Genomic DNA, 13,421 nt, shown 5'->3' on the forward strand with positions numbered 1-13,421 from the left:
AGAAGCCCTCCCTGCCCTCCCTGTCTAAAGCAGAAAATCCCCTCCTTCATCACTGTCCAGCCCTTTACCTTGCTTTACTTAGTGTCTTCAGAACACTGTCACTGTAATTCCATCATGCATTCATTGTTTATTGTCTATTTTCCCCCTCTAGAATCTAGGGCCATAATCACAGGGTCCTTGTCTGCCTTGGTCAACTCATTGTTACACGAATTGAATGAGTAAAAGCTTTCACGAGAAGTGTTTGGGATCAGAAGCAATTGTCTTTTATTCAATAGATGATTGGGAGATAAATACATTTCATTTTAGGATTTCAAAAAACATGCATACAGTGACACCCAAGTCACTATATACCGCTGATATCGTTTTATCAGTGCAAAGAAAATCCAGATATAAAATACATCTTTGCTTTTCAGTAAGGCATGAAGACATGGTTGTACTGCTCTTCATCTGTATTATTGACTTGGCCTCATCCTGTTCATTGACTTCGTATGGGTTGGTGCAGTAGGTATGCAAGCCTCATAATCCTCCTTTAAAACAAGAGGAAAGGCAGAGGCAGCTGCAGATTGTTCTTGGGTGAACTCCGACCTCCCAAACTACAGCTTGCTGGAGAAGCATAGAGTAGGGGAGAAGAACAGCAAGTCTAAGGCTGGGCCAGCTGCGTGTGAATCCCAGCTTCCCCACCCACCAGCAGCTGCCCAACCTTAGTCAAGTAACTGACCCTCTCTAGGACTGGGTTTCTCCATCTGAAAAGTGGAAGTAAACAAATGGTTACTATACAACAAGTCCTTCTGCATACAGTTTATTTGATTTTTTTGCAACAGCCCTATTAAGCTGGTGTGATTATTTTTATTTTACAGATGAAGGAACCAAGACTCAGAGAGGTAAAGTAACTAGCCCAAGGCCACACAGCCAATATTTTGCTGACCTGGGGTTGAACACAGATCAGCTGCCTCTAGATCCCGTGATCATAATTGGCAGTATGATACTAATTCCTATTATCTACACCATAGAGTAGATGCGAAGATTAAATGACAGCCAGGCACAATGGCTCATGCCTGTAATCCCAGCACTTTGGGAGGCTGAGGCAGGAGGATTGCTTGAGCCCAGGAACTTGAGACCAGTCTGGTCAATATAGCAAGACCTTGTCTCTACAAAAAATTAAAAAATTAGCTGGGCACAGTGGTGGGTGCCTATAGTCCCAGCTACTCAGCAGGCTGAAGCAGGAGGATCTCTTGAACCTAGGAATTTGAGGCTGCAGTGAGCCAAGATTGCACCACTGCACTGCAGCCTGGGTAACAGCACAAGACCTCATCTCTCAAAATAAATAAGTATAAAACAAAATAAACGAGAAAATCTCCAGCGAGTGCTAAGCACAGTGCTTGGAACATGGCAGCAGCCACGTTTAGGAATGACACCGTTTAGAAATTAGTACTTCCAACTCCTCTAATTCCACAGGAAGCTCGTAGAATAGCCAAGTCCGGGCCCTTCTCCCAGCTGGCAGTCTGGGGCATTTCTTTATGCAGCAGAAGGAGAAGCATCATGCGCCCCTACTAATCCTCTCCACTCTGGGGCCAAGCCTCCCATCTTCCCCCCAGGGACAAGGTCTCCCCTCAGGCGGAAAGTAACTGTTCACCTTGTTGCTCTGAGGTGTCGGTGGTGACAGCCCCTTTTCTTTCTGAGGGCCCCAGCAGGTCACTGTCTGGCACCAGGCTGCCACCCCCTGCCGGGCCTCGGCTGCACTGGCCGTCGGCTCAGTTCTGTGTGACCTGTCAGTGGGCTCTTTGAAATGGAGGTTGATGAGGAACAGAGCAGGGTAGACCAGGCAGCGAGAGGCCAGGAACAGCAGGCAGAGGGCAAGCATTTGGGGAAATCAGAGGCCAAGAGCAGAGGCCCCTGCTCTCTGTTGCCAGTGGTTTTTGTAACAGCAAAGTGGGGAGACAGCTGCAGCCAGGATAGAAATCCCCCAGGTATAAAAAACGTGGCTCTAGGCTAACAAGGGTGAGACTGTGCCAGAGAGGCCTGTCAGAGGCTGTCCAAGGTGGGAAATTTCTGATCAAATGAGATGATTCCCAGAGGCCCTTTCTGGGTTGAGAGTCAGCAGGGGCGGGACAGGGAGAGGAAAAGAAGGAAGGGGAAAGAGACAGAAAAAACAACTAAGAAATGAACATGTCTTCTGAAGCTTCAGTATTTCCCTTCATAAGTCCTGTGACATTCAGAGGGTACCTATATATGGCTGTGACTGCTTCCAGCCCCCTGTGAAAAACCGAGAACAGAAGTCAAGAGGCTTTGGAGGAGGCTGGGCATGGTGGCTCACGCCTGTAATCCCAGCACTTTAATTCCAGCACTGTAATTCCAGAAGTCAAGAGGCTTCGGGAGGCCGAGGCGGATGGATCACTTGAGATCAGGAGTTCAAGACCAGGCTAGCCAACATGGTGAAACCCCATCTCTACTAAAAATACAAAAGTTAGCCAGGCATGGTGAAGGGTGCCTGTAATCCCAGCTACTTGGGAGGCTGAGCCAGGAGAATCACTTGAACCCAGGAGGCAGAAGTTGCAGTGAGTCGAGATCGAGCCACTGCACCCCAGCCTGAGCAACAGAGTGAGACTCTGCCTGAAAAAAAAAAAAAAAAAAAAAAGAAGCTTTGAGGTAGACAACCAACATGTGAATCATGAATCACTTCTCCATCATTTACTAGCACTGTGACCTTGGGCAAGGCCCTTAAGCTCTATGAACCTCAGTTTCTTTATCTGCAAAATGAGGATCATAGAACCCACCACAAAGGGTTCTTGAGAGCATGACTGGATGCTGGCTGGATCGAAGCACAGCACAGGCTGAGCAAGCACAGAGGGACTTAAGTGGCTGGCAGAGGGCCAAGCACTTAATTGTAAACTTAAGTCAAAAGTGTGAACTGGATGAAGCTAGGAGCTGGGGCAGAGGGCTGGCCAAAACATTCTGCTGCCCAGTTTCCCAAAACATAAATCACCCTGTACTAGGTATGTAAATGGTTACTCTCACTAACTGTCTTAGATAAAAGAGCTCATATGTACATGCTTGTACAAACATGTCATGGCAGAGGGTACAACAGGCTCCTGTGTGTTGGACACTCAGCATAACAGTCACACAACCTTACATGGCAGCTTTGTGTAGGATTTCGTTCCAGAGTGCAGCAAACAGGGTCCAAAACCCAGTCCTACCACTTAAAAACAGGGTGACCATAGGTGAATTATTTAATCTCGAAGTCTCCCATTTCTCACCTGTAAATAATGATGTTAATAGCACCCAGGATTCTGGTGGTGTCTTAATAAAGGCATGCGTTTAAAGTACCTAACCCAGTGCCAGGCACCCAGGAAGCTCCTCCTGAGCACCAACCATTGGTTCTCATTAGACATGGTTGCCATTAATGTTCCATTGTCTTGCTGACGCCAGGATGTTGTCACCTAGCACAGGGTCCCCACTCTAAAATGCACTGGCCTTGGGAGACACTGGGAGCTGGAGGACAGGGGCTCTGAACTGATATGCTAGTAGTACCGACGTGGTTTGTGTTGGGCCTGATCACCAAAAGCCCTGCACTTTATAGGAAGTCAATCAAGGATGAGACTGCCACTTGTGACTATTGAGTAGATGGAGGTATGGCTGGTCCTTCCAAGAACAAAGCCCCCAAACCTAGAGCCCTATGTTCTCATGAACTGTTTTCCAACGTGCATGGCACTAGATGCAATTGCAGGGAGAGGCTCGGAGCCAGAAGGGTCCATGGTCAGGAAATGCTGCGTACTCCATGACAATATTAAAGACTCATAACGTGTATCCATATATCAAAGCCTCCAGGAAGTCCTGCTGTAAAGTTTAACTTCGTTTAACTGACTCCCAAATTACATTTGATGGCAGATCCTCCCCTCCCACCTCCACTTTTGTGTTTCAGGGAATGCGTATTAACATCCTGCAGGAGACAGAGTTTGGAAAAACTGTTGTAGCCCCTCAGCTGTACTGCTGTGGATATTTGAAGGCTTTTTCTCAGTCACTCAGAACAGAGGTCTCAAGCTTTAGTGAGCAAAATAATCATTCTTGAGAATCTTCTTTAAAATGCAGATTCCCAGCCAGGCACAGTGGTGCACACCTGTCATCCCAGCACTTTGGGAGGCCAAGGCGGGTGAATCACCTGAAGTCAGGAGTTCGAGACCAGCCTGGCCAACATGGTGAAACCCTGTCTCTACTAAAAATAAAAATAAAAAAATTAGCTGGGCATTGTGGCGGGCGCCTGTAATGCCAGCTACTCAGGAGACTAAGGCAGGAGAATCACTTGAACCCAGGAGGCAGAGGTTGCAGTGAGCTGAGATGGCACCATTGCACTCCAGCCTAGGCAACAAAAGTGAGACTCCATCTTAAAATTTAAAAAAAAAAAAAATGCAGGTTCCCAATATTTAGTCTCAGGAATTCAGTACGTCTGGGTTGATGGCATCTTAACACCATACCGGAGCAGGTAGTCAGGGAGCACACCTTCAGCAACGCTGGTTTAAAGCTTAGCCACTGGAAATACGGTGCTCAGAGCAACAACATAGACATCACCTGGGAGCTCATAAATAATGCAGGCTCTCAAACCCCACCTTAGGACACGGGATGAGAATCTACATTTTAACAAGGTCCCTGAGTGATTGTGATGCTCATTAGAATTTGAGAAGCATTGGTTTAAAAGGTTTTGTTGATGGCATTTGTTTTTGGTTTTTGTCCATTAGTTGCTGGTGAAGAACCATTTTTTAAAAATAACTGGACAACACTATAATCCCCTTGTCAAACATTTCCCCCAGTGGCTTCAAGGTACAGTCTATTAAAGAGAGGCCTTACCTGAATCAGATTTCTGCCTTTGGTAGCAGAGCCTTGATTTTCTTAAGCAGCCCGTGCTTTTTTTCCCACATCCATCCTAAAGAGTAGAAAAGCCAGCAAACAGCTTTCACTGGGGCCTCCTCTCTGCCAGATCTCTGGTCAGACATGATTCATCTTCCATGACTAAGTCATAAGAAAGGCCAGAAGGTGCTTTGGTACAACGATCTCTGGACTTGGAAGTCAGAGTCTGACCAAAAGAGTTGGCAAGAAGTAGGAGGAAAACTTCCAACAGGTCTTCTTCCAGAAGGAGTGCAAATACAGTTTTACTTCTTTTTTTTTTTTTTTTTTTTTTTTTGAGACAGAGTCTCGCTTTGTCACCCAGGCTGAAGTGGAGTGATGCAATCTCAGCTCACTGCAACCTCCACCTCCCGAGTTCAAGCGATTCTTCTGCCTCAGCCTCCCAAATAGCTGGGACTACAGGTGTGCACCACCACACCCAGCTAATTTTTGTATTTTTAGTAGAGACGGGGTTTCATCATGTTGGTCAGGCTGGTCTCGAACTCCTGACCTCAGGTGATCCACCTGCCTCAGCCGCCCGAACTGCTGGGATTACCGGCGTGAGCCACCGCACCCAGCCCAGTTTTACTTCTTGCAATATTTGAGAATGGCCGTTGCTCTGTGCAGGGAAGGAGGATGCCTGAGGAGCGACGGTTCATCAGGCAGCCAGGGTATTAATGGCAGGTGAAACCTTCCAAACGAGCATCCTGTCAGCCAATCTATTGCTTTAAAAGGTTCGCAATGCAGGAGACCTTACAGAGGCAATGAAGAACTAATCTCATATTGCCAGGTTAAATCAAGTCAGCCTTGCCTATTCCTTTCACTTCTTAGTTACATCAAGCCCAAATACTTTCAATTATCCTCACTTCCAACTTGTCAGCAGGCGTAGGGTAAAATGCAAATGGAACAGTACCTTTCTCTCGTGGAGAGCAGGAAATATCATTAAGAATAACCTTCATGTATTGAGCTTTGCCTCCATCTTAAGTGCTATACATTCATCATCTCATTTCACACGCACCTTCTTAGAGCACCTCTGTGCATTTCAGTGCAGTCAGCATTATTAAGTCCATTCTATAGATTGGAAAACTGAGCCACAGGAATTCAGTCACGTGCCCAAGATGACACAGCTGATAAATAATAGACCAGGTTTTAAAGCCAGACCATTCTAATTCTAAAGCCCGTGTTTGTTTGCTGTTTTTCAAACTGAGCCAAAAGTCCAGTACCACCCTGGGCAAATGGGGCAGGGCAGGGACCAAGCATTGCATCTCAGCGGGCCCTGAGCTTTGGGATGACTCCCTTGAAATTTTCTAAGTTGCTCCCCAAGTGTCAGGGACTGGCCAGAGTCAGCAATGCTAACTGGGAGGAGCACCTCAGTCCAGACTAGGACCCACGTGAGCCCTGATCCCTGTTCCTCCCCTTCAGGGTGCTCTTTTTTTTTTTTTTTTTTTTTTTGAGACAGAGTCTCACCCTGTCACCCAGCCTGGAGTGCAGTGATGCAATTGGGCCTCACTGCAACCTCCGCCTCCCGCGTTCAAGCGATTCTTCTGCCTCAGCCTCCCGAGTAGCCAGAACCACAAGTGCGCGCCACCATGCCTGGCTAATTTTTGTAGTTTTTAATAGAGATGGGGTTTCACCATGTTGGCCAGGCTGGTCTTGAACTCCTGACCTCATGATCCACCCGCCTCGGCTTCTCAAAGTGCTGGGATTACAGGCGTGAGCCACCGCCCCCGGCCCAGGGTACTCTTTGACCCTCTGCCACCCCTCACCCCCACTCCTGTGCATGTAGGGTCAATAAGATGCCCCAAATTGTTTTGGCATTTGCATCTATGGGATATCCTAAGGCCTAACGGCCAGCCCCAGTTCCAGCAGGCAGCCTAGCAAGCACTGGCCAAAGGACTCTCTCTTTTGCAAACCAAGCTTCCAGAATGGTGCTGACCTGCTGATTTGGGGTGACTCAAATTGTTTATATAGCCAGGGGCCCAGCACAAAAAAAAAAATGCCCTTTGACTGGGGTGCTGCATACCTTAGGCATGCCCTGCAGGAGTTTACCTCAAAACAAACTAACTCCCAAGGCAAAACCAATCCTATGGTTCCCCCTTTTTACTCAGGAAACTCTTTCCATCTCTATCTCAAATTCAGCAGGAGCCTTTGGCCTTTGCTGGCCAGCATTAAGTGCCCTCCAGGACCCCTGCACCTTCTTCATTTCCATCACGAACAACCAGATTTCATCTTTCTTGCCCCAACTTATTGCTTCTTCCCTCCTTTTTATTGCTGCATTAATTTTTCACCTCTTCATCATTATTAGCTGATCTCAAAAACGACCCTGAGTCACGGGGTTCACCACCTGACTACCCAGACTTTCCTTGGGGAAGTGACAGCTTGGCAAGCACCTAGCTCTGTATAGGTAAAAAAAAAACCCATATGATGCCAAGAAGACTCAAAAAGAAAAAGAAAAAAAAAACATAGAAATGACTCAGAAGCACTTAGTAGGTGACAAGGTGCTCACAACTGTTGTAAGGACCTTTCGTGGATTACCTCTGTGGATCCTCCCAGCACTCCTTTGGGTATAATCATCACTGCCCTCACTTTGTCAATTCACCTGGGGAACCAGGTGACTAAGATGAAGATCAAGAGCATGCCCAGTGCCCAGAAAGTTTCCCTGTGCCCTCCCAACTAATACCTCCTCATCAAGGTAACTACAACTTCTAACTTTCTATCATCACTGATTAACTTTGCCTGTTCTTGAACATCCTATCGATGGGTCAGAGAGTACTCTTCAAAGCTCATGTTTTTAACCAATCCACTCTATGGCTTCCTGGCCCAATGAGTAGGAAAGGTAGATTTGGTGCTTGGTGGTTCCTCTGTGAAACCATGACTGCAAAGAGTGCAGCTTATTTTTAAATCTGAGCTTCTGACCAGTCCCCAACCAGCAGCTGCGTGCAGACACTAGAAGAGCCATCCACAGCACCTGCAGTGATTTGTTAGAGGCCATCTCCACCACTCTGTCACAAAATGAAACTTAGAAAAGTAAATGTAGGTGTTCTTCTGGAGCCTTTAATACCTAGGAAAGCCATGGAGTTCATGCACATTGGAGAGAGACTCACTTGCAAACCAAGCTACAGGGAGAAAAGTTGAACAAAATGCTTCCATTCAAATTCTCTATAAGCTGCCCAGAAGATCAAAGAAGAAAATAAGTGAAATCAACATCTTCTCATTCCCTGAGCCATTTCCTATGAGAATGATGATGCAAGAATTCACACAGCCTCCTCCAGGCAGAAAGGTGTGCATGGTTCAGCCAACTCCAAAGGATCCAGATGCTTATTGTGGCTGCTTTACAGCCTCTCCATCGACACAGGGCCTCCTTCCTCCTGAGTGTAGCTTTACTAGTAAGCGTTTAATGGAGGCTTTGAGCTTAAATCTCTTTACTAGTTAGGAGCTCCTTTTAAAATCTAGCAGAGTACACTAGACAGGGGATTGAAACGGCTGACAAAAACCTATAGCCAGCACAAAAGTAAGTGCCACCTTGTGCCAATGGTAAACAGCTGAAAGGGGATTGTGTCTCACAGGTAAATAGTGTGGTCCTCTGCAGCCTACAATGCCAGGAATAAATTCCCAGGCATCTGGTTTCTCCTGCTGATTCCTCTTCAGATGCTCATTTCAACCAGCCACATTCTTTCCCAGCTATAGGAGTAGACAGGCCTTCAGAAGTGATTAAATCTCACAGCTGCCCACACTTACCCCTGTTGATGGGTGTCCACTGCCTTGTCTTCAGACTTCCTTGGGGAAGGAAGCGTCACCCCTCCTAATAATGAAGACAAAAGGTGATAATCTCATCGGCTGCCTTTCTCTACTTTTTATTCATAGCTGCTTCTTAGCCACTTGGATATCCACCTTCTCCAAGCCTCAGTTGCATCCTCTATAGGTGGGTATAGAGTGGGTGGCATGGTGATAATGGAGCTAAGATAATGTACTGAGCATTCATTATACGACACTGCTCTGAGTACTGTACAGACAATAACTGCTTTAACCCTCCCAGCAGCACTATCTACCATCGTGATCATCATCATCATCAACATCATCATCATCTCCATTTTATACATGAGGGAAACTGAAGCACAGAGCAGTTAATTGCCCATGGTCAACAGCTAGGTAATAGTCAATCTGAGATTCAAACCCAGATACCCTGTTCTATAATCTGACATTTAAGAGTTACATTATTCTGCTTTGCAGGATTTCCATGAATCTTTAAATTAAAAAAAAAAATGTAAATTCTGCTCAATCTATAGCATTTGTTATTCCTATTAATTATTATTATTAACCTATCACTGTTTGGAAATTAAGTATTTTTGCCAAGATTCAACCAGCCCATAGCCTACACCAGTGGATGACTCTAAATATAAGGGAATATTAATTTCATTTACTTTTGCATCTTTTTTTTTAAAATGAAAAAGTGGAAGACTTCAGGGAGTTTCTGGTTATAGTTATAGTTCATTGGACATATACTATATACCAGACTGACATATATATATATATATATATATATATATATATATATATATATATATATATTTGAATTTATATATATATATATATATTTGAATTTATATATATATATATAAATTTATTTATTCTTCATCACATAACCCTATGGCATATGTACAATTATAACTCAGTTTTTAATGCAAGGAAACTACAACCCAGCAAGGCTGATTACCTTTCCAAGCTCACACAGCCAGGGAACTAGCAGAGACGAGCTTCAAACCCAAATCCATCTGATTCCAGAGGCCAGGCTGTCACCTCTGATGCTGTGTAGAATTTTTGGCTTTTTACCTTGGGACTTCTAATCCAAAGGTTTCAATTCAGCATTAATGAACCTGTTTCACGTTGCCAGAACTGTTATGGAAGAATCTCTCTGATTTGCTTTATCAAAAGCAATAAATAGAATGCCTTGGTATCATTCCCAGAAAGTTTCTCCATGATCACATTTCTCTGAAATTGTCATTACAATTAGCTTATGACGTGTATGAGTAGACTAGAACCAGAGCTGTGATTTAGCGTCCGTTCTGACAGAAAACACCTAGATAATTCTTTTTGGCCCCGTTTCACTGAGTGAAGTAAGATTAAGCAGACATGAGCCACCGCAGTGTGGGCTGATTCAGAAGGCCTAAGTCGCTTTCCCATAACCGCTGAGTCAGTATTGGGCCCTTTTTGAGGACTCTGCAAACCTCTCCTACCATCCTCACCCCCTTCCCCAGGAAAAAGCCAACCAGACTAACAAATAAGTAGGTAGATAAATAAATAAAGAAATCGTCCATTGTCATAGGAGGGCCAGGCCGCTTTCCCTCTGCTGTTGAATGGAGACATCGGCCACCTCTCAGGTCCTGAACTGGCAATTCAGAACAGTTTGATTGCCTGCTTGATTGTTTGCGAGATAACTGCAAGATTGTCAGTGACAGGGTAATTTACTGAAGATTGCAATGTCAGACTCCATCCAAGGGGCTTGCTGGCATAAAGACGCGATTCTCATGACTGACAGGCCACTGGGAGATTGGAGTGCCAATTTAAAGTTCACAGTGTCGTCTGAAAGTGTTTGGCGGCTGCAGCCCATAATCACGCAGCATGATGAGGTCATTATAGGCATAACGTAGGCTCCTACTTAATAACGGGTAGAACCCCAAATGCACAATCTCTGGAGCAGGTAAATGTAAATATGTAGGAGGAAATCATTTGTATCCTATTTTCTTTCTGTTTTGGCATTTGTCATCTGCTATTGCTGATGTGCTTAGGCCATCTCCTGCCAGACAGGCCCTTGAATCAAAAGCCCAGGATCAACAAAACAGTGGGGAAATTTGAAGTTCACAATTCTGAAGCAGTCACAAGCCCGGAAAGAGTGACAGGCTGGAGGGGGAGGGGGAGGCAAATGTTCAGCACTCAATAGGAAAACTGTCTTAAGTTATTCTTCAAGCCCAAAGAGGTCTTCAAGGCGGTTATATGGAGCGGGTGGTAAATGGGTTGGAGGGGGAGGAAATATTTCCCCAGCTTCAGGAGGGAAAGGCCACCAGAGATGGATGATACCCCTAATTGGAAGAGGCCTGTGACCTTAAAGAAATCTATAGTGCTAACAGCAGTGGGTTTCTTCTCACCTGAGAAGCTTCTTGTGGCTGCTGAAGGAAGCCCTGCCAGCATATCTCAGCAGGTTATTTTTTAAATCTGAAACAGGCATTCCGTGGTAGAGCCCTTCTGTCTTTTGAAGGCAGCCCGTGGACAGTGATGTTCAAGGCAGAATTCTATGCACTTTTTTTCTTCTTTTTCTTATGCTGCCAATGGTCCTCCAGATTGGACAGCCTGAATGTGGATCTGAAACAATGCCTGGATATCATCCTGCTACTAAGATACAATCTCCAGTGCTGTTTCTAGGGTCTGAGGTTTGCCAGGCTCCGGGGAACTGGGGAGTATCCGATTCAGCCAGCATATCAGCCCGAGATGTTCAGAGCCTTGATTTTGAAAGTCTCTCAATCTAAAGTGTGCATGCCTGCTCACCCTCCTGTGTCTGCATTTCTAGGAAATTGTGTAAATCTAAATGTGTTACGAGGCACATGAGCAACATTTGCCCATGTGGAAAATGAGAGGCTAGTTTTAGTAATTTAAAGCCAGGCAAAACATGCAACCTCCTAATTTGTTTGTTTGCTAAAAAGAAAGTAATGCATTAAAATAATTGCACATTAATTGCTAAATTACAGTGGAACTTTGGTGAAATTACATATTTCATTTTCATTAGCGGAACCAAACGAAAAGGGTAATGCCAAAAAATTACACTGTAGTAAATTTAAAGCACCCAGCCAGGCCTCTGATTCAGCGTTCCAGTACAAGTGTTTGTCAAGGCACAGCCCAGGGTTTGAGTGCGTGTTTCCATGGTTCTAATTATGGTCCAAAAAAATGCCTTGCTATCAAATCCAGGAGGTGCAAGCAAGTTATTCTCCAAGCTTCTCCACTGTGTATTCAATCCGCTCCCAGCCGAGTGAATAAGGATTGACTAACGAATTCGTTCTTATCAGAAATTCCAAGGAGCAAACACTGCCCTAAACATTCCCATCTTCAGCCCTCACAGACAGGTGAGGAATGGGAAACAGTCATTTTATTCATTCAACAAACATCTGTTGAGTGCCCGATTCTGTGCTTGGTACTAAGAGAGGAATGAATATAAAATTAATAAGACATCATTTTTCTCTTCAAAGAGCTCATTTTCCAGATAGGGAGGCGAGCATTAAGAGGTCATTAATTCTACTATAAGAAAGTTGGCATTAACAATGGTTTTTAAATCGTATTGTGTGTTAGAATCACCTGAGAATCATGTTTAAAATGCAGATTCCAGGGCCTGCTCCTGGAGGCTCTCCCTGGGGAGATGTGGGGTGGGCCGTTTATTCTTCCTGCAGGATTCTGATGCAGAATGCTTCTTTGAGAACCTCTGATTCAGGGATGTACAGAACAGGGATTCCTAACTGTCTTGGTCAGTTTGGGCTGCTACAACAAAAATACCATAGACTAGGGGGCTTAAACAACAAACATTTATTTCTCGCAGTCCTGGAGGCTGGGAAGTCCAAGATCAAGGCACCAGCAGATTCAGTGTCTGGTGAGGCCCTGATTCTTGATTGATAGACTGCAGTCTTCTTGCTGTGTCCACACATGGCAGAAAGAGTACTGAAGTGCTCTCTGGGGTCTCATTTATAAGGACACTCATCCATTTATAGGAGTTCCACCTTCATGACTTAATTACCTCCCAAAAGCCCCATTCCTAATACCATCACATTGGGAGTTAAGTTTTCAACATTGAACTTCGAAGGATCACAGACATTCAGTTTGTAGCAATAACCTGGCCAGGGGCATCATCCAGAAGGCTTCCTGGAAGAAGAGGCCAACCTAAACTTGATCTTAAAGGATGAGTCAGTCCTGTCAGTTTCCCCCACTCTACCATTAGCTCCTTAAAGACAGTCTCCATGGTTCTTTGCTCTCTCTCATTTCCAGCACATGGAGACCACTCAAATATTTGTTGAATGGTAGTTGAGTAAATAGGAATCAGCCCAGGTAAAGGGATAGAGGCACAGGACTCTAGGCAAGTGCATAATAATGTTCCGAGTCCTGAGGGCGTGCAGGAAGACAGAACCAGAAACTACTGCGGAAACTGCAGGCTTAATTTCCAGATTCCCAAGCCAAAGCCATTTCTCCACATTTCCTAGAAAATGTAATACTCTCAGCACCCAGGTTTCCAATTGGTCAGCAGTTCCCTTCCTGGCTTAGAGAGAGTGGGATAGAATACTTTTCTCCGTTAAAGTGAGATTTAAGGGATTCCATGCATTTTAGTTTTTTTTAATTTGATAAAAAAATTGTATTTCTAATAGAGACAGGGTCTCACTATGTTGCCCAGGTTGGTCTCGAATTCCTGGGCTCAAGTGATCCTTCTGCTTCAGCCTCCCAAAGTGCTAGGATTACAGGTGTGAGCCACCATGCCCAGCCAGAAATTCCATGCATTTTGATTACTTGTGCACCCA

At 45.0% G+C, this 13,421-nt stretch overlaps 1 protein-coding gene across 33 annotated transcripts in view; it reads left to right on the forward strand.

Moving 5' to 3' along the window:
* Nucleotides 1-13,421, forward strand: part of TENM2 (teneurin transmembrane protein 2) — a 1,285,129-nt gene that overhangs the window by 1,197,493 nt on the left and 74,215 nt on the right. The window lies entirely within an intron of this gene.

The sequence above is a fragment of the Homo sapiens genome, chromosome 5, assembly GCF_000001405.40.
Source record: "Homo sapiens chromosome 5, GRCh38.p14 Primary Assembly".
In the NCBI taxonomy this organism is placed as follows: Eukaryota; Metazoa; Chordata; class Mammalia; order Primates; family Hominidae; genus Homo; species Homo sapiens.